Source organism: Homo sapiens, chromosome 6 (genome assembly GCF_000001405.40).
Source record: "Homo sapiens chromosome 6, GRCh38.p14 Primary Assembly".
NCBI lineage: Eukaryota > Metazoa > Chordata > Mammalia > Primates > Hominidae > Homo > Homo sapiens.
Window position 1 is genome coordinate 101,112,106 of NC_000006.12, and position 24,536 is coordinate 101,136,641.

At 36.4% G+C, this 24,536-nt stretch overlaps 1 long non-coding RNA gene across 2 annotated transcripts in view; it reads left to right on the top strand.

The window, feature by feature from the left end:
- Positions 1-24,536, top strand: part of LOC107984041 (uncharacterized) — a 367,164-nt gene that overhangs the window by 230,649 nt on the left and 111,979 nt on the right. For both annotated transcript variants that reach the window (XR_007059692.1, XR_002956381.2), the window contains exons 4-5: positions 18,524-18,614; positions 19,530-19,592. This is a non-coding gene — a long non-coding RNA (uncharacterized LOC107984041). The remainder of the gene's footprint in view (positions 1-18,523; positions 18,615-19,529; positions 19,593-24,536) is intronic.

Here is a 24,536-nt window from a genome sequence, read left to right on the forward strand (position 1 = left end):
CAATGGAACATTGACTACTTTGGTCTTCCTCTCATTCTTTTGCTTTCTAAATGGGCATGTTTATTGCAGTTATCCTGACCCTGTTCCACTATTGTATTTTGGGTATATGTGCGGAAGTTTCTGTTTCTTTATAGTCTCCATATTAAGAGAAGCCACACTAAGATGAGAGCCCATCATATATCATCAAGAGATCCTGAACTTTGAGCTTAATACAATGCAGGTTGTCTCTCTGGAGTAGGGGTAGTTATTGGGCCTGTGGGAAAGATGGTGAATGGAATATTTGATGACTAAAGGGGCAGACTTTGTAGTCACTAGTGCCAAATATTTCTCGTTCTTTTTCTTTCTTGGTCACTCAGATTTTACGGTTGTTGGAGCATCATCTAATCTATCTTGACTCTACTTTTTTAGAGACCAAGTGAGAGATAATGTTGACCAGGAATATGATAATGGCAGTAAAAATGGAGGAAATACTCTAATTCAAGATATATGCTAGATATAAAAAAAATACAGAAATTGTTAAATGCTTGGATGTGGGAAAGAGAGGGAAGGAAGAATAAAAAATGATCACCAGGTTTTGTAGTGGTGCTGTGTACTGAGATTGGGAAGAGTGAAGGACAGGTTGAAAGGACAAAAAATACTTAGCTTTGGACATAATAATATTGAGATGTGTGTGAAATATTTAAGTAAAGATGTTAGGTAACTGAATATGTGAGTCGGGGCTCAAAGTAGAGATTCATGCTAGTTTCTGGGAGAAACATATTAATAGTATTTTCGGTCAGAATGCACACCATCCTCGAAGAGGAGAAGGGAAGTTGGGCCAAGACTGAGCATTGAGAATTACTAATATTTATAGCTTTAGTATGGGGGCTAAGGAGCCTAGAAAGGAGAGTGACAAGGAATAACCAGAGAAGCAGGAGGAAAACTCAGAATGTAAAGTCCTGCCCTCAGTGGAAGGATGAAATTGTCAACTCTGATTAATGCTCCTGAGAGGTTAAGGACAAGAAGTGTTTGCCAGAGCAGTGGGGAGCAGGAACCAGAATGAAGGGGGAATGGGAGGTGAGAAAGTGGAGGCAGCACCAGTAATGCCTCTTGAGGAATCTGGCTCCAAAGGAGGGAACAGAAAATTCTGGGATTGAGAGAGGTTTTTGCTTGTTTTTGATCTGTGATACTGCAGCATGTTTGTATAAAGATAGAACTGATGCAGCAGAGAAGGGAAAATTGCTGATGCACAAGGGGGAGAGATTGACTAGTGAAGACCTTGAGAAGGTGAGAGATAAGGTGGGAGCTTGAGCATACATTCACATTGTAGGCTTTGATAGGAGGAAGGAAGAAGAAAAAATGGGTGTGGATGCTGGTAGGTTTATAGGTTTAAGGTTGAGAATATAAAGTGGATCATTGAGTTTTTTATTTTCGAAGAGTAATGAGGTGAGTCTGTTATATGAGAGTGAGGTTGAAGTATGTATAAAATAGTTCTTGGTGAGTTAGGAAGTTATACTACTTGAGAAACATAGCAGGATTGCCAGCCAGTAGTGAGTATCTACTTAAGGTTGGTAGTCATGAATTTAAAGTAAAACCAGTCAGGTGGGTTTACTAATTTTTCTTTAGGAATGTTTGACTGCTTAACTAGGCAAGGATAAGCAATATTAACCATGAGTGTGGTGGAAGGAGAAAAGAATGAGAGAATCAAGTGTATTTTCAGAGCAGCAAATACAATATTAGACCTTGAGTATATGGACTGGATAAGGAGGGCAGTGAGTCCAGGTAGGGACTGACAGAAGGTGCAGAAAGTAAAGGGGTTAATGGATTCGAGGTTTCACTGTGGCTGGTGGAATAGGTTAGTGGGTGTACTTGAGAGACTGAATAGGAGAAATATATGTGAGTGGGAGGTTTGAAGTGAGTTTTCAGAAATGTTGCAGCTTCTGTTGATGACAAATGGGACAATGGGAGTAGGTGGCTGAGGTGGAGGGGAAGGCATTGGAGTTGAGGAGGTTGAAGAGCTGAGCAGCCGTGGTTCATCAAGTGGATGTTGATGATATTGAAAACGATGATAGGGTGGGTCTAGAAAAAATTGTGAACAAGAGTTAAAATATTCAACAAATGGTTGTGAATGAGCAGGGATTTGTCAGATGGTTGCAACAAGTATAGTGGGGATAGAGTGACACATCTGCTTAGCAGGAGCTCAAAGGATCAGAAATTTTTGTAAGAGGGAGATATAGATAAGCAACGGGAGGCAAGAAGAGCAGCCATCATGGCAGGGTGTGATCAACAAATGAAAGAGCTTTTCCTCAGGGGGGTTTCAGGGCAAGTAGTATCCAACAGACTCCTTTTAAAACAAGAGGCAAAGAAATGTTCCAAGAAGAGGATAAGAAGAGCTTACTGATTCCAGACAGGAGATCCAGAGGGCACAGTGGGAGGGTTTAGGGGAAAGGGAGAGCAGAAGTGGGAGGCTGGGTCACCTTAGGGGCTTTTTCAGCTAAGAAAGTGCATAATAATATATAACTAGGAAGAACATTTAGTGGCAAAGGAATTGGAAAAGAATCTTTTCCTGTAGTCATCTAGTATATCTGCATTCTTGTTTCACATTTGGCATCATCTTCACTTTTCTGACCCTAATTTGCTACCATCTTTCTTGTGTCCTGTCTTTTGCTATAGAAAGAAAAGCAGTTTGCCAGTATTGGCATTTCTTACCCACACTAGATGTCACTGTTGCTTGCCTCCTAATTTCAGTCCTATGGCTTATTCAATGTGACTGTTCAGTGGCAGTGATCTCTCCCGGCCACCCTTTGCCTTACCCACACAAAGACACACACACAAGATTTAATGAGACTGGTGCTTATAAAACCACTGAGGTGTTAAATAGCTTAGGGTTAAACAGAACTTCTTATGTATGTATTCTAAGAAGCTTATTAGTTTTTTTCTGCATTTAGGAATTAAAGGCTGAGTGAGAACTCAGACTGGAATTCTTAACAGAAAACACATCTATTTCCTCCTGTGAAAATATGGCATTTTATACTTAAATTCAAACTTGGTTAATGAGCTGCCCCCTCATCCTCTGTTGTTGGGAGCAGGAAGCCTGGTGTGAAATCGCACTTGGTTACCTTCATTACCTTGATGTGTGGTGAGTAAATTTCCTGTCCTGAGCCTGGTGTGGTGTTACCATATGAGGTTGTCTTCTATGGTCTGATTTAGGTGTGCAATCCTGGGTGATTTCTTAGTCCGGGGAGCGTGAGAGACCCTGCTAGCAAAGGAGAGTTCAGACTGTTATCTGGGAAACTGGCAGAGGCTACAAACAATGTATGTCCCTTGTACTGGCAGAACCAGAAGTTGCTGGGGGCTGCAGAGCATTTTCTTTCTTTCTTACTGGCAGAATCCTACTCAGGAAAGGGGAGAAACTTTCAGAAAAGGGAGTGAGGGGTGCGTGGTAGAAACCATTATCTTTTGAATCATACATTCAGTCAATTAGTCAGGTAACAAATATTTATTGAACTACCATGTGTCAAGTATTGTTTAAGGCACTGGGGACACACTGGTAAACAAACCTGAATTGGTCCTGCATGCATAGAGCTTAACTCCATTGGGGAATGGGAAAGAAATAAATATGCAGCATTTTTTTTCAGAAAACTGCTCTGCAGAAAATAAAACAGTGATGAGATAGAAAGTACTTGGGTGGTGGTGACATCTAAGAGGGGTCCTGTCTGATAGGATACAACAAGGAAATGATCTGGGGGAAGGAGGTAAGTCATGCAGAGGGAAATCTGACTTGGAAGTCCATTTGGAGAAGTCTTCAGCTTGTTCACACAATAGGCAAGGGTAAAGGCATTCAAGATGGAAGTTGAAGTACAGAGTATGTGGGACCTTGTGTGTCACATGGACGGGGCTTAGATTTTATTCTAAGTGCAGAGGCAGATGAATGAAAGTTTCGTGAGATGCATTGAGGTGATTTGATGTATGCTTTTAAAAGATCACTCAGGATGATGACTAGAGAATGGGTGGGAGCCAGTGTGAAGAGCAGGGAGATCCCTTAGGAGGCATGAGCAGTGGGGCAGGGGAGAGAATGATGGGTTGCGCTAGGTTGCTGGAGGTAAAGATTTGCGATTACTCCTTTAATGATGAGCAACTTTTATGCATTAATCTGACTTCTTATAGTCTGTAACTTGGAAGTTTCAGGATTCTTTTTCCGTGGATCAGTTCTTAGTCAAAGGTGAGGAAGGGCATGAGGAGCTAATTTTAAAGGAAAAAAGAATTCAATAGTACTTCCCTAATGGCTGTTTTCGTTGTCTAAATCATCAGCATTTTTTATTCTAGAGCAAACTTGCTAATATTATTCACAGTATAAAGTTGTTGGCTTTTTTTGTTTTTGTTTTTCTCTCATTAAATGTCACATAGAGCAGAAAACAACAATACCAGCATTACGGCACCTGGAGTTCCCTAGTGGCTGAGGCAGGGAAAGGATAGTTTCCTTTAATGAAATCCCTGAGGGACCAGGGAAGAGACAGAATGCTAATATGAGCTTCCCAACATAAATCCCAACAAATCAATATGCCGGAACCTCGGAAAAGCCGGGAGTGGTATTGGTGTGTGAGTGCAACAGACTTACCTGGCAGATGGGCCTCCATCATGTATAAGCTCTCACTGTGTGTTAGTACTGCACTCACAAATTTATATTAGCATCCCGATTAATTCTCACTTTAGCCCTGTGAACTAAATGGTATCAGCACAAACAGTTGACAGATGTGGAAGATAAGATGTAGAATGGTTAAAATCACATGGCTAGTCAGTGGCAAATCTGAACTGGAACTCTTAGTCTTAATAAATTTGCTATGTTGCCTCCCAAAATCTTTTGCTAGTTATATATTGTTAAGTTACATTTTTACTTATACAGAGATGGACATTCCTTACATAATTTTTCTTTCAATAGCTGCATTCTGTTAGTTTTAGTGACCAATCCTTTGTTGTGCCTATTATGTGACGTAACACGCCCACAATAAAAATCTTTAATTCTGACTATTCTGTCTCTGAAACAATATTTTTTATCAGATGAATCCTTAGAATTATGAGGATTTCATTATATAGAGAGATGTGTGGAAGAGTGGGTATATTTCCATCAAGTATTATTATTCATTTCATACATAGAACAAAACATATTAGAGCAGTGCCGACAACACTTTACAATAAGAAAACCCTCTACGTGTCAGTCAGGGTTCTTTGTTGCAAGCATCAGACACTGACTCTTGTTAACTTCAGCAAAAGAGAGATCTGCTGGCAGAATATCAGGAAGCTCAGTTGTTTGCGGAGAAGCCTGAAGACGCTATAAACTGGCAAAAATGCAGGCAGGTTCCTCAGCAAGAACCACAGCCAAGGTCATGCTGCAGGAACAGCCTGGTTGGGGTGCCCCGCCCAGCTCTGCTGCTGTCACACTACCCTCGGCCTCCACCCTGGGCAGCGCTGCACTTCCCGCTGCAAGATGCCTCGTGAAATGAATTCCAAACTGTCCCTGCTCCTTTCTATCACTTGCTCACAATGCAAAGTGGCAGGAAGGATCATCAGATTGGCCAAGCCTGGGTCACCTGATCTACCTGTCGGGGCAGGGAGAGGTAGTCTCTGACCCCCTTTGAATTTCAGAGAAATGAAAACTAGCCTTTCACCAAGTAGGAAAGGGTTTCAGATGCTGAACAGCTACAGAAACAGGATTAAACTGTAAAAGTAAAATATTTTTAGCCATTAAGTACTCACATGGAATTTTTAAGGTGTCATGAAAAGGCAACATAGTCTTTGAAAGAAACTACTTTTCTATAGTATAGACTTCAATTATCTCAAAATAGCTATTGAGCTGGGGAGGGTCACTTACTCTACATTTGCATGCAGATGATCTTGCTAGTCATTTGGTTTTGTGTTGAGAATTCCAATATGACATTCGGCAGTTACTGGAACAAAGACCGAGTTTGCATCTTCCTTCCATTTATTTCATTTATCTCTGATAGGCTTTGTGGGAATCGTTGTCTCTAATCCAAGCTATCAGAAAGCCTTTTACACATTCCTTCTGGCGATGCCTAATTTTCAGTGTGCTTGGAGTAATCAGTTTGCATTTTTTTATTGAGCTCCTTTAAAAGCAACTCCTCCCCACAAAGGAATGTTATGTTTCTGAATTTTATTGTTCTGCTCAGAGATTAAGCATTTGTATCACCATAATATGAAATGTATTCTGCCAGCCTATTAGTACTACAATAAAACTGATGTGACAAAGTTTTAATTCATACAATATTTATAGTGTTTATCCCTAGCTTTAAAAGCAGAGATCAGAGTACATGCAAGAGACCATATGAGATCTTTAACATAGCATGTTTATTTTATTATACTGGAATTATATCTTCATATGATAGAAGTCTAATCAAATTTGGTATGTTAAAGATGAATAAAATGGCATTATTACAAATGCAGCCAAAATAAAATTAACAGTGGTAAATGTCATGGAGACTGCAACTGTCAGCCTAAGGCATGAGAGGAACTGTAGTATAATTTTTTTAAAAAACTGCTTAAAGAAACAAACTGTTAGTCTTGTCCTAAAAGGGGCACTCAGTATAGTCTTAATATAGTGAGGCTTGATTCACAAATCATTATTCACTTGCAAAATCCATGATATTTATTTGATCCTTAAAAAATAGATATATATTATTTAACACCCCTCAGAACTTCTTCCCCAAAACATACATGAAAATCCTAAGTTCATTTTTATAGTTTAAGTATGCTGTACAAAGAATCTGAAGAGTCAGCCTCAAACAGGCTTTCTTTAAAAAAGGATCAAATTACAGTACAAATTAGAGAAAAAAATACAGGATTAATGTCTATAAAGAAGTGATTAAAAGACTCAAGCAAAGAAATTCTTAGCTGTGCGTGTTTTAGGAAGAAAAAAGTTTCATTTGAAAGAAAGTTAAAAAGGGTTAAATATTTAATACTCTTTGTGTATACTAGTTGATATACTTTGGGTATTCGTACCTATCTAAACCTCATGTTGAATTGTAATCTCCAGTGGTGGAGGTGGGGCCTTGTGGGAGGTTTTGAATCATGGGGGCAAATCTCTTCTGGCTTGGTGCTGTGTTTGTGATAGCTCTTGTGACATCCGGTCATTTAAAAATGTTCCTTCCAACCACTCTCTCTCTGACTTGTTCCTGCTTTCATCATGTGATGTGCCTGCTCCCTTCACCTTCTGCCATGATTGAAAGCTTCCTGAGAGTTCCCCAGGAGCAGATGCCACTATGATTCCAGTATAGCCTCCAGAACCGTGAGCCAATTAAACCTCTTTTCTCATAAATTATCCAGTCTCAGATATTTCTTTATAGCAGCGCAAGAACAGCCTAATACACTAGTTATTGGTTCTTAGCATAATACTAACCCTCCTCTTTTGACTACTTCTCACGTGTGAAGCACTGTGCTAAGCATTTCCATATCTTATTCAACTTAATCTTTTTTTTTTTTTTTTTGAGATGGAGTTTCATTCTTGTTGCCCAGGCTGGAGTGCAATGGTGCGTTCTTGGCTCACCACACCCTCAGCCTCCTGGGTTCAAGTGATTCTCCTGCCTCAGCCTCCTGAGTAGCTGGGATTACAGGCATGCACCAACATGCCAGGCTAATTTTTTGTATTTTTAATAGATATGGGGTTTCTCCATGTTGGTCAGGCTGGTCTTGAACTCCCGACCTCAGGTGATCTGCCCACCTTAGCCTCCCAAAGTGCTGGGATTACAGGCGTGAGCCACTGCATCCGGCCAACTTAATCTTTTAATAGCCCCATGAGGTAAATATCATTAGCACCATTTTATGGGTACAGAAACTGAGGCTTAGAAACAATGGAGCATTTGAACCTTACCTTGGCTTCAGTGTCTGTACTCTAGCCCTATGTTGCACTTCTGCCTTTGAGTATTCCACTTCCTTTAATATTGGTGAAGCAAAGCCAGGCTATGTCTTACCATGCTATTTGATATAAGAAATCATATACCAATGTTTTATACACCATGCTTATCTAGGACAGTGTCCCAGAGGCTCTCAGAAAACAGTTGAAATTATAAAGTTACTGACTTCTCCAACCTCGCAACAAACTTCTAATAATAACCCTTGGAGTTTTTCTACAGTGAAGTTTAGGTATGCATACTATCAGATTTGGGGCTGAACTTCAAAGTTATCCTGCTTAGGCAACCTCAGGAGGGAGAGGGTGGACATTTTGGTGGGCTCTTAAAATCATGACTAAAGAAAAAAGGCCTGAAGAGGTCATACTTGAGACCCTTCCCCATAGGATAAGAGGGTATTCCACCAGAGGTGCTGCACTGCTTTCTAAAATGTTAAACAAAAATTTGGCTTCCAATGAGAACACATATAACCAAATTCAATATCATTGAGAGTTGTCAGTGGAATGTGAAAAAAGAATTGATGCTAAGCTGATAGGGTTTTTTCTCCCTAATATACTTTACTCTTAACCTAGATTCTCTTAGTCTTTCTTTTCTAGTCTGCACCAGGTGCTTCTACTTCACTATAGGAATGAGTTACTTCCCTTGTTTTAACTTTCATAAAATCTTAAATATTTAGAATTGAATATTCTTATATTTGAACGAAGAATATTTGAACGACAAATATTCTTAATGAGAAAAGGCTATTTTTATAGAGGCACGATATGTCTTTTTCTCATGAAGTTTTAGAAACTTCTAGTACAAATAGTTTGTATTATATATATAATGATATACTTAGGTCATTAGCGAATCAGGGCTGGAGTTGTTACAGGGACCCCGTTATTGTATTATATTGTCTTTCATACACTCTGGTATTGTTTGAGGACATTACATTACGTCATATTACATTATTAAATTGTTTGAAAATGTTTTGAGGAGATGAAATAATCTTGCCAAGAAAAAAAGGCTGTATAAAAAAGCTTAGCACTTAAGATATCTGTATTCAAAGTTGAATGTGAACAATCACATTCACTGTTTTCCTATTTCAAATACTTCATCTGGCATGAAGCATCTGCATTACATATCAATGGCATCAGTTGAAGTTTTGTTTTGAGCCAGGGTATAGCCTGCCTGAGGAAAATTTTCTTGTTTATATTAATATAGTTGAATGTATTTCTTTATTTCAATAATGGATTAAATATTGTACCTTGTATTGGAGGGCTATTTTTGGTGGCATTTAGATTAAGCGGAGCATATATGTGTGGTGGCATCACGTTATTTTATATGGGATGATTTTGGTGCCACAATTCAAAAAAATATTTATCGAACACCTATGTTTATGCACATGACATGATACAGTGCAGGCATATGATGATAAAGCAACATTGTCGTTGCCCTACAGTAATGCATGAAACGAAGTTATTATAAATTTCTGTTTAATGGGGAATTTATTGATTACATATTCATGTTATTATCAAAATGGAGAGGTTGGACTTCTACCTAACCTGAGGATCCACAGGGTTCTCTTGGAAATCTGAGCCAAGTCTCAAAGGATTGTAAGGGGAGCTTTCTTCAACAAAGATGATTATTATGGCTCCATGCCATTTTATCATATCAATTCTGTGTAAATTAGGGGTGGTATTTTATTTGTTTTACTTACCCATTCTTTGTTCTCATTTCAATAAAATATCCAGGCACAATTGAATTAGCTTTTTCCCTGCAGAAGCACAGAATGCTGGTGACTCCTAGTGATGTTCAGTTCTCAGAACTAGTGTAAATATCCCTGTTTCAGAGCGTAACACAAGGGATAGAGAGGGGAGTTCTTTATTTTCTAAAACTGAACTTGAAAAATAGTTATCAAAGAGAGAAACCAGAAGAATATGGGTGTGGGAAGGACACTGGGCAAGACATTTCTGCCCAATACCATTCCTGTTGTTTTTTTCCAAGTTCAATCATTATAAGGATTTCTGTATTTCTTAATCTCAACTTCCTCGTAGTGCATTATTTTCCATACTATTCTTATCTCACCTGAGGGACTTTAAACCTTAAATCCATCTAAGTCTGAAAGTTGCTGAGACATGCTTATTAAATGGCCTAATTCTAGCAAGAAAAATAAATCTAGGTAATCTTGTATTTGCTCCCCTTCTCTACTGCCATTATGTTTATGTATGACAGTCTACTGCCAATAATCTATATTAAATCCATCCCTCTCACCAACCTTTTAAAATTTCTTTTTTATTAATTTATTTCTAATTGACAAATCACTTTATATATATTATATGGAATATGATGTCGTGTATACATTGATCTATGTATACATTGTAGAGTCAAACTAATTAACATTCCCATCACCTCATCAGCTTTTTGTTTGTGATGAGGACATTAAAAGGACATTAAAAATCTATTCTTTTAGCAATTTTGAAATATACAATATAATTAACTGTGGTTCCTAGGCAGTGCAATAAATTACTAAAACTTATTGCTTCAGTCTAACTGATACTTTGTACCCTTTGATCCGTATTTCTCTCCCTTTCTACAACATTGTGGTTAGGATTAAAGGAAACCAACAATAGATGGTAAAAGACTCTAGGGTAACAACAACGGTAAGCCTCTGCCACCTCTAAGCCTTAAAGTACAGGAGAAGGCAGTTACTGTAACCTGGCCACCAAACAGGACTTGTAATCTTAAGTTTAGGAATGCAACCATTGCCAAATTTTGGCGTAGAGTGAAGGAGCTATGTGAATAAGTATCCTTATTCTTTCTTTTCTGATCAACTTATTTCCTGCTATTGCTTGAGATTTACAGAGATCCGGAAAGTCTTATAATTGTAGTCTATGTAGGTAAGCGTCCTGAGATACAGAACAGAGTGGAGAAGTCAGGAGAGTAGATCTGGAGGAAATGTGAAATATTTTTCATACTCATTTGATCTTCAAAACAATCTTCAATAAGTACTATATTCGTACTATTTTTAGATGAGGAAACTGAGGCACAGAGGGGTTAAGTCACTTTTGCAGGGTCGCATAGAAAAGTGCTAAAGCTAATTGCATGTTTACTTCATTAATTTTTAAACTTTCTTCTTTACTAATACAAATGTTTATGATTATAAATAATGCTTCCAATGCATTCTACCCAATTTAATATGTAGTATGTTCATTATCTTTCAGTTGAAAATATTTTCTTATTTTCCTTGTGGTTTCTTTTTTTTATCTCCTTGATTATTTAGATATTTCTTAATATCCAAATATATGGAGATTTTAATGGTTATATTTTCATTATTGATTTCTTTTAAAGTTATTAAGATCAGAAAATGTGATGGTTATACTAGCCCTTTAAAATTTGTTGAGATGCACTCTTCATTTATCTGATGAATTTTATAATGTTCTCTGTGAGTTTGAAAACAATGTGTATTCTGCAATTGTTGGATCCAGTTATTTATATATTTTTATGTATGTAAAGCTTGTTAAGTGCACCCATTAAATATATAACTTACTGATGTAACAATAATTTTTGTTTGCTTAGGTTGACTTCTTCCTGTAATTCTTGATTGTTGCTATTTATACTTAAAAGGCTACTATATGAGTAAAGGCTTAGGATTTTTATATATTTCTGAATCTTTTATTAAATATGTAGTAATATTTTTATCTGTAATAATCCATTTTTTCCCTTCAAGTCTATTTTGTCTGATACCATTAGCGTGACACCAGTTTCTTTTGATTGATAAATCTTTTTCCATCATTTTACTTTTAATATTTCTGAATCCTATGTCTTAGATGTATATTTTATAAATTGCTTTTTAAAAAGAAATCTGACAGAATCCAATAAATTAATCATAATCTTTATTTTTTAAATTTTTTTTTGCATTTGCATTTATTGGAATTACTGATATATTTGAAATTATTTCTACAGTCATAGTTTGTGTTTTTGACTATCTTGCTTCTATGCTTCATTGTTCTCTATTCTTGCCTTCTTTTGGATTATTTTTCTTATTTAAATTTTTCTTCTGTCAGTTTGAAAATATAGGTTTTTAAATGTATTTTTAATGGTTACTCTATCAAATTTAACATGAATATTTTTTGAAGTCTAAATTTAATCAATATTTTCCATCTCTTTCAAAACAATATAATTTAATGTCTGTAAATCCAATTATTTCTCTTCTAAATATGTTTTATTGTCATGCATTGTAGTTTTATATTTTCTATCCCAGAATACATGGTTATTGTTTAATGCAGTCAATATATATTTAGATTTATTTAAATATTAACCAGTGACTTTCCTAGTTCTAGCTTAGAAATGTTTTACATTCTCAGCTTGAGGTTTTCAGATTAAATAAGTAGCATGAGTTCAAATAAAAACCATGTGAAGCCTGGATTTTGTTTACGAATTCTCAAAGGAGTTCTCCTTCACAGAGAGCCAAGGGGATTCTCTTTATGGTCATTTTTTGAGAGGCAGGTGGTTGAATGAATTATTTTAAACTCACTCTCACCTTTTCACTGAGATTGTAGTGTTTGAGGTCCAGTCCAGTTTATGAGGGAAGGACATTTCATATTCTTTTCCTTTTACTTCTCAGATTTTCCATAAGAATCACTTTCCTTTTGCCTGAGGCATATAATTTAGAGATTATTTTAGTGATGGTCCACTGGTGAGCAAACCATCAGGTTTTCATTGCATAGAAATATATTGTGTTATCTTTTTCTTAAAAGATATTTTTACTTGGTATAGAATTTAGATAAAGAATTTTTTTTCAACACATTGAAAATATTCCACTTGCATCTGGCTTGCACTGGTACCACTGAAAATCTGCTGTCAGTATAATTGTTGTTTCTTTAAAGGTAAACCTATCATTTTCTTCTGTTTTAAGATATTCTTTGTTTTATTAGTTGTAGTTTTGTAGTGATTTGCTTAGGGAAATTTTTTATTCATCTTGCTTGATAGTTTTCAAAACATAGACAATTTAACTGATGAAAATTTTTAGACCTTATTCTCTCTTCTATATGTCTTAACATTTCATTTATGTTTTTCACATCTTTGTTTTTTTCTGCTGCAGTTTTCAGATCTAACTTACTGTTAAATAAAACTTTATTAAATTCACTATTTGAGTTTCAACTTTAATTGTTATATTTTTATTTCCAAAAATTGCTTGGTTACTTTTCAAATATGGCTGGCCATTTTTAGTTTCTTGATCTTTATACTATTGATCCTTCCTATTTTAAAAAACATAAACATTTATTTTATAGTTTGATAGTTGAATATTTTAAACTGTTTGTCTGTCTGATTCTGTTTTCTTTTTTTTCTACTAAGTGACATATTTCTGTGTTTTGTAATTTTGACTGAGTAAATATTTCTTGGAGCATGAGACCTAGAATAAAGTTAAGTTTATACAAAGAAGATTTGCATTGTCTTCTACTAATTCAAGTCTAGAAATGTTTTACATTCTCAACTTGAGGTTTTCAGATTAAATAAGTAGCATAAGTAGCATGAGTTAATGTAAAACCCATGTGAAGCCTGGCTTTTGTTTATAAATTCTCAAGGGAGTTCTCCTTCAACAGGAGCCAAGGTGTTTTTCTTTGTAGTCTTTTTTTTTAGAGGTGGGTGGTCGGATGAATTATTTTATGCTCGCTCTCACCTTTCCACTGAGATTGCAGTTCTTTGAGGTCCAGTTTTATGAGGGAAGGGCTTTTCATATTCTGTAAGTTAGGAGACCTTGGACTTCCCCCACCCCCATATAACCCCTGACAGGTTCCAAAGTCATAAAAACGGAAGTAAAAATGTATCAGAATTTGGCAAATGCTCACAAGGTGAAAGCCAATTTCAATGCTTCCCATGTCTTTTTGGTTTTTTGCCTTAACTCAGTATTTCTTATTTTCTTGCCAACTCATACATAAATTTAAGCTTTTTAAAAGACATTTGATTCAATATTTACTCTTCTGTTTTTCTAGGAGTTTCACTCAAGGGACTTAGGTCACATATTCTGGAACATGAGTTGGCAATATCACTGACTAATGGGGAATCTTGATACAAGTATTTCAGAGTGTTGGTAGACGATTCGGTAGTAGTGTAAGGAGGGAATGGACAACAAGGCTATTTGGTGGTAGGGAAATGAGGTGGCTGCTATTCTATATCTACACCCATCCCAGTTCCCTTCCTTCTTTCTTCTATTCACAGAGTCCAAATCTCAATACTCTACCAAGATGGGAGCCACAGTATCTACAATTTTAGTCTTTATTTATTATAGATTTAAACACTATAGGCATCACAGAGTTCAAGGAAACCAAATTCTATTCTGTTAAAGTTTCAGAGCCAAGTAATAAATATTCTTTTTATGATTTATCAATTTCACTGATTACTAAAATACTGCAATATTTTCCCCCAACATTCCATTATTTATTTTATTATATTCTTATAATACCTTGTGACCTCACTGTCAATCTTGGGTCTCTTGGGACTAAACTGGCCTTTTTGGAAGCAGTTCAACCTCTGACAAGTGATGCCATTTCCAGATATGTAGATTCAGCATAGTTGAATGGAACAGGCAGCCCAGCGGGAGCAGCAGCAAACCGTAAAATCCACAATTTTTAAGTGTCAGGATAAGTATTTCATGGACTCATCCTGTTACTGTAAAATCAGATCAACTGGGAACATATATTCCAGCCAAATTTTGACAGGTGCAGCTACTGCCGTGGCTCTGCTATTCTTTCTCTAATCTGCCCATCTGCTCTCAGGATTCCTCTGATTCTCTTTGAAATATTTAATCTTCCACTTTCCTTATCCTCAAATACTCCACTTTGTCCTTTAAGACAAGGTCCACACAAACAAGTCAAAGCAGAGAGGAGCAGAGCTATTATCTGTAATTAGAGCAGTAAAGGCAACCAGTCTAAATAATTTCATCTTCCAAATTGGTTTTCTTGGCTATATTAGTCTAATTTTTTAATATTCTCTGCATTTTTAAAGGATTTTTCTGTCTGTACATAAGCAAGTAAGATAGCTAGTTGTTAGTAATGGATAAAATGTTGAAATGGATTCATTCATACAAAAGATTTTCATGAGCCTCTGGTAAATGTTAAACACTATTTTTTTCATGGCAGTTCACAAAACATTCCTTGTTTTCAAGAGCTTACAAAATGTAATATTTTTAGTGATATCTTCATTAGTATTAAATTTTGGCATGAATCATTTTGTTTACTTTTTAATAAAGATCAGAAGAAAAAGTTGTCACATTTCTGGTTATGTTGTGTGCCTTGTAGACTAGACTAGAAATAGCTCACAAGCTGTATAAAAATAGGAAGTGGGCTGGATTTGGCCCATGGGCCAGAATTTGCTAATCTTTGCCTTAGAACAATCAAATAAAAATGATTTATTATTTTCATTTTTCAGAAAGAACTAGGAGAACTTAGGTCAAAGTAGCAGAGCTTTGAATATATTTCTAGAATTCTTTCTCATATTTCTCAAAATCCTATGTGACTCTCCTTTTCTCTGTTGTGCAAGTTTCTAGGAGAGGCCGGCATAAAAGTTACAGTGTTGAATGAAAAATTGGGAGAGTTTGGGACTCATGAGGCTGGTACCCCCTACCTGCTCCCTGAAAGCATATATGGTTAGCCTGATTCCATTCCCGATTCTGAGAAAAATAATAAAATGGATCAGGTGTGTCTCCCACCCTTTCTCTTCTTAGTCATAGTCCCTTAGGGTCATAGATTCTTCACACACTTCCTAATATCCTGGGAAACCCATACTCAAGGAGGAATCCGATATAGTTATACTACATTGTTAATGATGATGCTAGAGATATTATCCTAACCAAGGATTTGCATTTTGACTGGGGGCAATGCCCTGTGCCAAAATATTTAATATCTTCTTGCTATTTCAGTCATCTATGAATAATACAGATGAGGATAATATTTTTGAGGTTCTGATAAACAGATGTCCATTTTCGTATCTGTCCATGAAGGTGACTTTAAGTCAATGTTTCTGAATTTTAAAGTATTACTCACTTTACTGTCAGTCTTACCCATCTTATGAGTGTCTTTTATTTTTTAATCACTAAAAGAGGAAGATAGGGACTAAATATTTTTATATGTAAATGTTTAAATGAAATAACATTTTATATTTTAGTATGCATCATATTTGCTAGTTTTATACCACAGTGCAGTAAATTTGTATTTGTGACATATTCATAAGGTTTATAGAAGTGCAACCAAAAAGACAGCAATATCAATGATTCACACAATATCGAGAAATATGGCTTAGACATTTTGTAACATTTTCTTTCAGTGTCAAGAGCAGATAATACGTGAAAATATGTTGGCAGAGAATAGTATGTATACACACAGGTGCTTGAGTGTGTATAAAAAGAAAAAAAAAGTGTATCAGTTATTTATTTTTGGTAACAGGCTATCCTAAGACCTACTGACTAAGGTAACAGCCATTTATATGCTGATGATTCTGTTATTTGGGCTGTGTTCAGCTGGTGGTTCTTCTGTTGATATTGCCTGTAGTCACTCCTGTGTCTATAGTCCTCTTATGGTTCAACTGGAGCTGGATAGTCCACAATAACATTACTTACGTGTCTGAGAGTTATCTGTAGATATTAGCCAATGTGCCTGTGTTCTCCATGTAGTTTCTCCAGCAGGATACTACCAAGGTTATGGTAGTATTCCAAAAGAACATCCCCCTCAATGTGTTAGTATCTTTCAGGCCTCTACTTGTGTCATATTTGCTTACATCCTACTGCCAAAGCAAGGCATGCTCCACACTTAAAGTCACTGTGAGAGAGAACTACACAAAGATGTGGATACAAGAAGATGTGACACACTAGGAGTGTTATTATGGCCAGAAGATCCCTATCTAAAATAGTTTGTTTAAAGTTGATTTCTTTTTTTACTATTACAGAACAAATACATTCATAATCTATATTACATAACTCTATATAGCTGATTTCAAATACTACTATGTTTAATATTTTGTGTTAGGACAATTTAAATAATTTCAATTGTTTTTATAAGATGTTGTGACCTTGCATGGGGGTGAGGGAACATGCAGTGAAGGTACATTTCAGTTCAGAGGCAATACCACCAATGCTTTATAGTACTTAAGAGAATTTCGGTTAAAAACATAGACTTTAATTGCCAACTCTCCCATTTGTTATCTTGGGCAAATTCTGAACCTATGTAAGTCTCAATTTCCTCAACTAAGGTAGTTGATAATAAGAGTGTGGAGGACATTATGGATTGCATGAAAGTGTTTCTCCCAGTGACTGCCTCATATTAAACCATGAAAAATATGATCTACTACTATTAAGTAGAAGTACAGAAAATTTTCTCTGTGTACTCTTCCTAGATATTTCAATGACTCTTTATCTAAATATTAGCTAGCTCAGCCTTTTCCTTATTAATTTAAAACTCATTGAAATTTTGTGATATATTATATGGAGTTACCACTACCACAAAAGGGAACAGACAGTATTCCCAGTTGGCCTCATCTTCAACTGGATCTTCTGGCTTGAATACACGTCACTTTCCTTCTGAAATGAATACTTTCACTCCCTCCTGAAATAAGTTTATATTAATTGGGAATCAAAAATATTTCGTAGTTATTTGTGCATTTCTATTTCTATCTATCCTACCTTTTGTAAAGCCTAAGGTGGCAGATTTAGTAAAAACAACTGAGTATTTGAGATCAGAGAGATCTGCATGGAAATTTCATCTCTGTCACTTATAACTGCATGACTCACAGTTTCAATTTCTCATCTGTAAAATGGATGGTTCTGAGAATTCAAAGAAATAATGTTTGTAAATTGTCCAGTACATATAGCCAGGTTGAATAAACAGGAGCCCTTGTAATAAATGTAAAGGTACTTTTGCAGGATTATATGGATTCATTGTCTAATCACAGTCTAAAAAACAAGCGTTATGACATCTTAGTGTATAAGAATATTTCTGCTGCCAAAGCTATCACTGTAAATTTTAATCAAACATTCCAGATAACTGTGATTACTTTGCATTTCTGTGTCAAGATTGCCTTAGGACATATCCAAGAACAAATAGCCTACTGTCTGATGGAAATATGGAAACAGACTTTGGAACACTAGCATGCAGCTAGCTCACCATGACTGTTTCTGAAACACTGCAAACTACTTCAAAAACCATAAAAGACAGAAGGAAACATCAGGGAATATTTATGGAAAATAATCAAGAGAAGATAAATTAATTAGCTTTAGAAACTTCCTATAATAATTTTCAACTTTTATGCCTTTCCAAATGAATATATTATTTTTAGAATTTCAAGAAAAACTATATATCGTAAGACAAATATCTGAGCACAAATTGAACAAAACCTCATCTTTTCCCCCACCCCAAATACATGGTCTGGTTATGTTTAGCCTATTTGAAAGTGACATTAACTCTTTAAAGCCTTCAGGTTACTATTTAGTAAACAATATCTTCATTCCAATTAATGTTATCTTAGTAGACCAATAGCATTCATGATCTTTCAAGAAATATCAGGATTTTGGAGGGTCATGATGTGTTGGGGGTTGAAAGACAAAATATCTACCTAACCAACTCATTTCGAGTTTCTTGTCTCCCTTTATTTCCAAGGTAGCTGATCTAGGAATGCAGCCTGAAGAAATCAGCACCTCCTAGATACAGAATGAACAGAAGGGCTCAGAAGAAATATGAGGACAAATAGGTAAGCTAAGGACTGGCATAAGAGACCAGATCCCTGGAGTCTTATATTCTACCACAAGAAGATAGATGATCAACAGTAAACTTACTAATTAAATTATTACATAGCATGTTAGAAGACTGCATGCAACTGTAAACTAAAAAGGAAAGGCAGGCAAGGGGGATCTAGAATGCTGGGTGGCAAGAAGGGGGAAGGTTGCAAAATTAAATAGATTGATCAAGGTAGGCTTTATTGAGAAGGCAAGCAAAGACTTAAAGGAGGTGAGGAAACCAACTAAATAGGTATCTAGGGACAGAGAGGTCCAGAGAGAAGGAGCAGTAAGTACAAAGTCCCTAAGGAGGGCTGTGCTCAGCGAGTTCAGGGATCAGCAGGGAGGCCAGTGTGGCTGGAGCAGAGTGACTGAGGAATTGGTGGTAAAAGAAAGGGTCAGATGGCCAGCAGGGAGCTGTGCCATGTAGAGTTTATGGGCCATTCTAAAGGTTTGGCTTTTACTGTGTGAGGTTTTACTCTGTTGCAAGGTTTGGAAGAAAGTCACAGTGCAGAACTTAGGTTTCTAAAAGATCAATCTGTCTGCTGAATTGGGAAAAAAATTATGGTGACGAGGTAAGGGAGATGAGGGTAGAAGTCCATAAACCAATTAGGAAGCATCTGCAGTAATCCTGGCAAGAGATGGTGGTGATTCAGTCCAGGATACAGTTAGATGGTCAGAACTATTGTACCCTGAATACATTTTGAATGTAGAGCCATCAGGAATTTTTAATGGAAACCATCAAGGACTTTTTGGCATGTCAGCCTCATTTTAGTGTTGTCCATCACTGACTCCAAGTTTCTAATAATCAGCTGAGAAAACAATTATAATCCTTCTCAGCTGCTCAAGGCAGTACACTGAAAAATTCTTTGATGTATTTGACCTTACAGGTATGCTAGACTGAGGCAGAAGAGGCTTGAATATTGACTTCATCTTTTAAGATAACTCCCCAGGTAAGACATGATTCCAAGCAATGGAGGAAGAACTTCATCAGAAAATGAAGTAGTGGATATGTCAGCTGACAAGGGAGGGACACATAGGTGTGAATAAGAGGTTGGAGTTTAAAGTATTTTGTGTCTTCTGAAGCCTTTTATTTATACCTGTTCTAATTTATAGGGTCTTACTTTTTCTTCATCAATACCGTAACTTCCATATAAAAGGAAGTGGTGAAGCTATAACTTCCGTGGACGTAATTCAACAAATTACTGCTGGATGCAGTGGCTCACCCATTTTGGGAGGCCAAGGCAGGAGGATCACTTGAGTCTAGGAGTTTGATACCAGCCCAGGCAACATAGCAAGACTCCATCTCTAAAAAAAAAAAAAAATTAGCTGGACATGGTGGCATGCACCTGTAGTCTCAGTTACTTAGGAGGCTGGGGTGAGAGGATCACTTGAGCCTGGGTGGTTGAGTCTGCAGTGAGCCATGATCATGCCACTGCACTCCAACCTGGACAACATAGTGAGACGCTGTCTTAAAAAAAAAAGATAAAAAACCCACACAAATTACTTGCCCACCCCCAAAGTTTGGGCTTTTTGCCACCTCTGCCCTGAAGTTTAACAGTGAAGCAATTCTTTAGTACATTCACAGAAAGCCTCTGGGTATCAGTTTGTTCTTTTAGCCCAACATTTGAGGATATGAGCTTATCATGTCCTCTCTTATCTACTTAATGCCACTGAAAAAAGCACCACACCAGGTCTTCATGTTTTCATACTTTCTTTGTTGCAGTGTGGCCTTCTGCATCTTGCCTTCAATGCTGTGGCCCCTCCTTAGGACCAATTTTTGTTTTTCAGGTTTTCTAGTCACAAGCAATAAAACTAAACCAAATTTAAGCTGAAAATGAGTTGATTGGAAGAGAAATTATAGAAGCAATAGAAGTGCTGACGAATTAAGCTTAGAAATGGCAAGAGGTAAGGCCACTTGCAGTGGTAAACAGCCTAGATCATGCCTTAGAACAGCCTGAGTACTGCTTGAGGCTTCCCAGTCTCTGTTTGCTTATTGGAGGTGACATGGTTTTGGTCTAGGCCTCCAACATAGATTCCAGCCACTGAATGTTTGTATTACTCCTGCAGGACTGGAACTCCCTAGTACAAACATCCAATTGACAGATCTTAGGTCATGTATCTTTGATTTGGCTCTCTGAGGGCAAGGAGGGAGTTTCTGGGCCCTTCAGCCTATGCAATCAGAGCCCTCATAACATATGATGAGGGATTTTCTCCAACCAGAAAATTTTGGGGTACAGAGTAGGAAAACATGATAATAAAATAATGCAACTAGAAACATTTAAAAGGAAAAACATTTGTATAGAAATGCATAATGGTTTGCACCTGTCTTGCATTTGGCCTAATGGACTCACTCCATGCTCTATCTTCAGATACTTTTCTACTTAAAATGTTATTACTGTTGACTTAGCAATTGTTATGCACTGAATGTTTGTGTCTCCCCAAATTTATATGCACTGAATGTTTATGTCTCCCCAAAATTCATATGTTGGGATTTCATATGAAATCCTAATCCCCAATGTGATGGTATTAGGAGGTAGAGAGGTAATTTGGTCGTGGATCTGGAGTCCTCTTGAATAGGTTTAGTGCCCTTACAAAAGAGACCCCAGAGAGCTCTCTAGTCCTCTTCCTACCATGTGAGGATACAACAAGATGATGGCAGTCCTGCAGCCTGGAAGAGCGCCTTCACCAGAAACCGACCATGCTGGCACCCTGATATGAGACATCTGGCCTTCAGATCTTTGGGAAATAAATTTCTGTTGTTTATAAGCCACCCAGTCTATGATACTTTGTTATAGCAGCTGAACTAAGATAGAAATTTTGTAAAAATTAATTTTTATAAATCACAATAATCTTTTCCCCCTTTCTTTGCTCAATTTTCATTACTTCCAGTGCATAAACATCTATATTTTTCTTTTCCTTTCCTTTTTAGCTTCTTACTGACTTTCTATCATGTTTCTAAATAATTATTTTATCCAAAACATCATGTAGATATAGTTTTCCTTTCTTTTCCTATCACAAAAAATGCACTGGTGAGAACGTAAGTGAAGTCATGTATGATTTATTTATTTATTTATTTTTGAGACAGAGTCTCGCCCTGTCACCCAGGCTGGAGAGCAGTGGCACGATCTCGGCTCACTGCAACCTCCGCCTCTGACGTTCAAACGATTCTTCTGCCTCAGCCTCCCGAGTAGCTGGCATTACAGGTGTCCGCCACCATGTCCAGCTAATTTTTTTTGTATTTTTAGTAGAGACGGGATTTCACCATGTTGGCCAGGCTGCTCTCAAACTCCTGACCTCATGAACCGCCCTCCTCAGCCTCCCAAAGTGCTGGGATTACAGATGTGAGCCACCAAGCCTGGCTGTACATTTCATTTTAAATCCTACCTCTGCACCAACCCCTCTACCCAACCCCCTTAGCTTTACCACCATCACTTTTAACACTTTACCTCTCCCAGGTGTCCAGGGGGTTCCATGTATGTTGGAGATAGCAATGAACCTCAGAAAGGCTATGCAGTACAATGGCTCCGAATGTGTTATCTGGAGTCAAACTACTGTTATCAATTGTAGAATATAATAAAAATACCTTCTTCGTCTTATTTTTAAGAAGCTTACATGAGTTATTGCTTGTTATGTATTTAGAACAGTGTCTGTAACATAGTAAACACAGTATAGGTGTAAAGCTCTTATTATTATTATTAATTAGTGTTATCAAGGAACACTAAATTAATTAGTGTTCCTTGCCCCATTATTCTAGGGCCTCTTGTATAATTTCTAAAGTATTAAGATGATGAAATTATCATAATATGTTCATGGATTTAAATGGTTTAAGATCTTATTCCAATCCAGGCAATGTATCTCTATTTCAACACGAGAGCTATAAAGCCATTTAACCAAAAGAGATGTACATATATTTTGCTACTCTGGTGAAGATATTTTTTAAGAAAATGGGCCTTTGAGTTTTTTGATACTCAGTTGAGGTGACCACTCCACATTTAATGTCTAGAGTTTTTTTTCTCTTTAGATCTTTCAGTCAGGTATCTTTCCTACCCCCAGATGGCAACATTTTATTTTGAAAGTTTTTAAACATACAACGAAGTTGAACAATTTTATACTGAATGCCCTTATTCCTACCATTCCTACTATAGAGTCCTATAATTTGCACTTTCATTTTTTTTCCTTTCCTACTACAAATAATAGTGTCCATTGTTGTGTACATCACTAGATTTAGTTGTAGTAGGGAAGGAAGCAAAGAACACAGGCTTTGCCTTCGGAGAACCACATCTGAGTCCCTTTTCTTGGCTTCCAGTGGTATTCCTTGGGTTAATTTCTTAGCCTGCTAGAGTTTAGTTTCCTTGTCTGTAAAATCTGAGCAATAATATTGACTTTAAAGTGTTGCTGTGATGATTTCGCTTAATTGCATAATAGACACTTGGCAGGTGTTACATCTCTTCTTTTTTGTATTTTTGCATTATTTATTGTAGTCATTTTTGAAATAATTACATTCCAGATCAATGGCCTTTCTTTAGTGTTTTCCGTCTACCACATTCATAAAAAAATTGACACAAGTGATTCAAACAACCACGTGGGAAACTAGATTTTGTGGTAACTTATTGTGGGTCGATTCATTTTGATTGTCTACTTTTATGACTTTCATGTATTCTGTTTAGCCTTTTGGATCCTTCTCTGTCATTTTAAGTGAGAATATTTTATTGAGATAGTAATGTCTTCAAACACCTCTATTTTATTTTCTTGGCGTGCAATTGACATTTCTTTCTTTGCTTAAATGTTTGAATCATATTACCTTTTAACATATTAAGTTTTGGTATATTCTTTTTTTGTAACCTTTTCCAAATATTATTTTTTCTGTTTAAATATTTTTCTCTCATTTCTATATGTGTAATATGAGCTCGACATTACCTGAATGCCTATTTTCCTCCAATTCCGATTGCTCATTTTTGTTCCATCAATTCTTTGCAATGTTTCTTGATCTTATTTGTGATGTTTACAATTAGGAAACATTTAAGCTACTTTTCCGCCTGGCTCCTTTTTCCATTTGAAAAGACACAGGCATTTCTTTCTTCAATCAAGCTAATCCTTATGCATTTTTATATATTTTTCCTCTTGATTTTGTGGCACTTGGTACCATTCTGTTTTTTCCAACTCCTTCCATGTTTTCAAGCTACATTATTGAAATATGCTTATATTCACCAAAGTGCTTTCCCCCTTTTAAGTTCTTTATTTGTATTGTATTTGTATGCCCCTCATTTATCCAGTCTAGTGTTAACCTTAACTAATCTACTTTAAATTTTAATTTTTCTCCTTAAAACCACATTTCAGAAACAAACAATTGAATTTAAACAACTGTTTGGTAAGACATCATTATTAATAAGTTGTTATTTTCAATTTAACTTTTAATAAGTTCCTTTAAAAATGACTTGCTGTTTGATGAGTTCTAATTCATATGGTAGCTTATACTTTCACTTTTCCTTATGTATCTTATAAACATTTTAATAGTACCCAATGATAGATGTTTGGCTTGTACTTGTCAACCAAATAAGTATAGTTAACATTTCAATTATTTGGCATCATTAATTATAAGAAACAGCTGTGAATCCAACAGTGACTTAATAAAACCCGAGTTTGAGAAATGCAAAAAATATCCTATAAAATGTAAAGACGAAAACCTACTATGTGCAACAAAGCCCTCTCACGCTAGTACCCATATGAAACCCCATTATGTTCCTTGAGGTAAAACTCACAATTGTTGAGGGTGGGTAGGGTCCTAAGACTATGGCCAGAAGGAGTTTCTCACTTTCATACTAATCTGCTCTAAACTTCCAGTAATTAGTAAAAAAATTACCACTTAAGTATCCTTACCAGTTTATGGTTCAGTG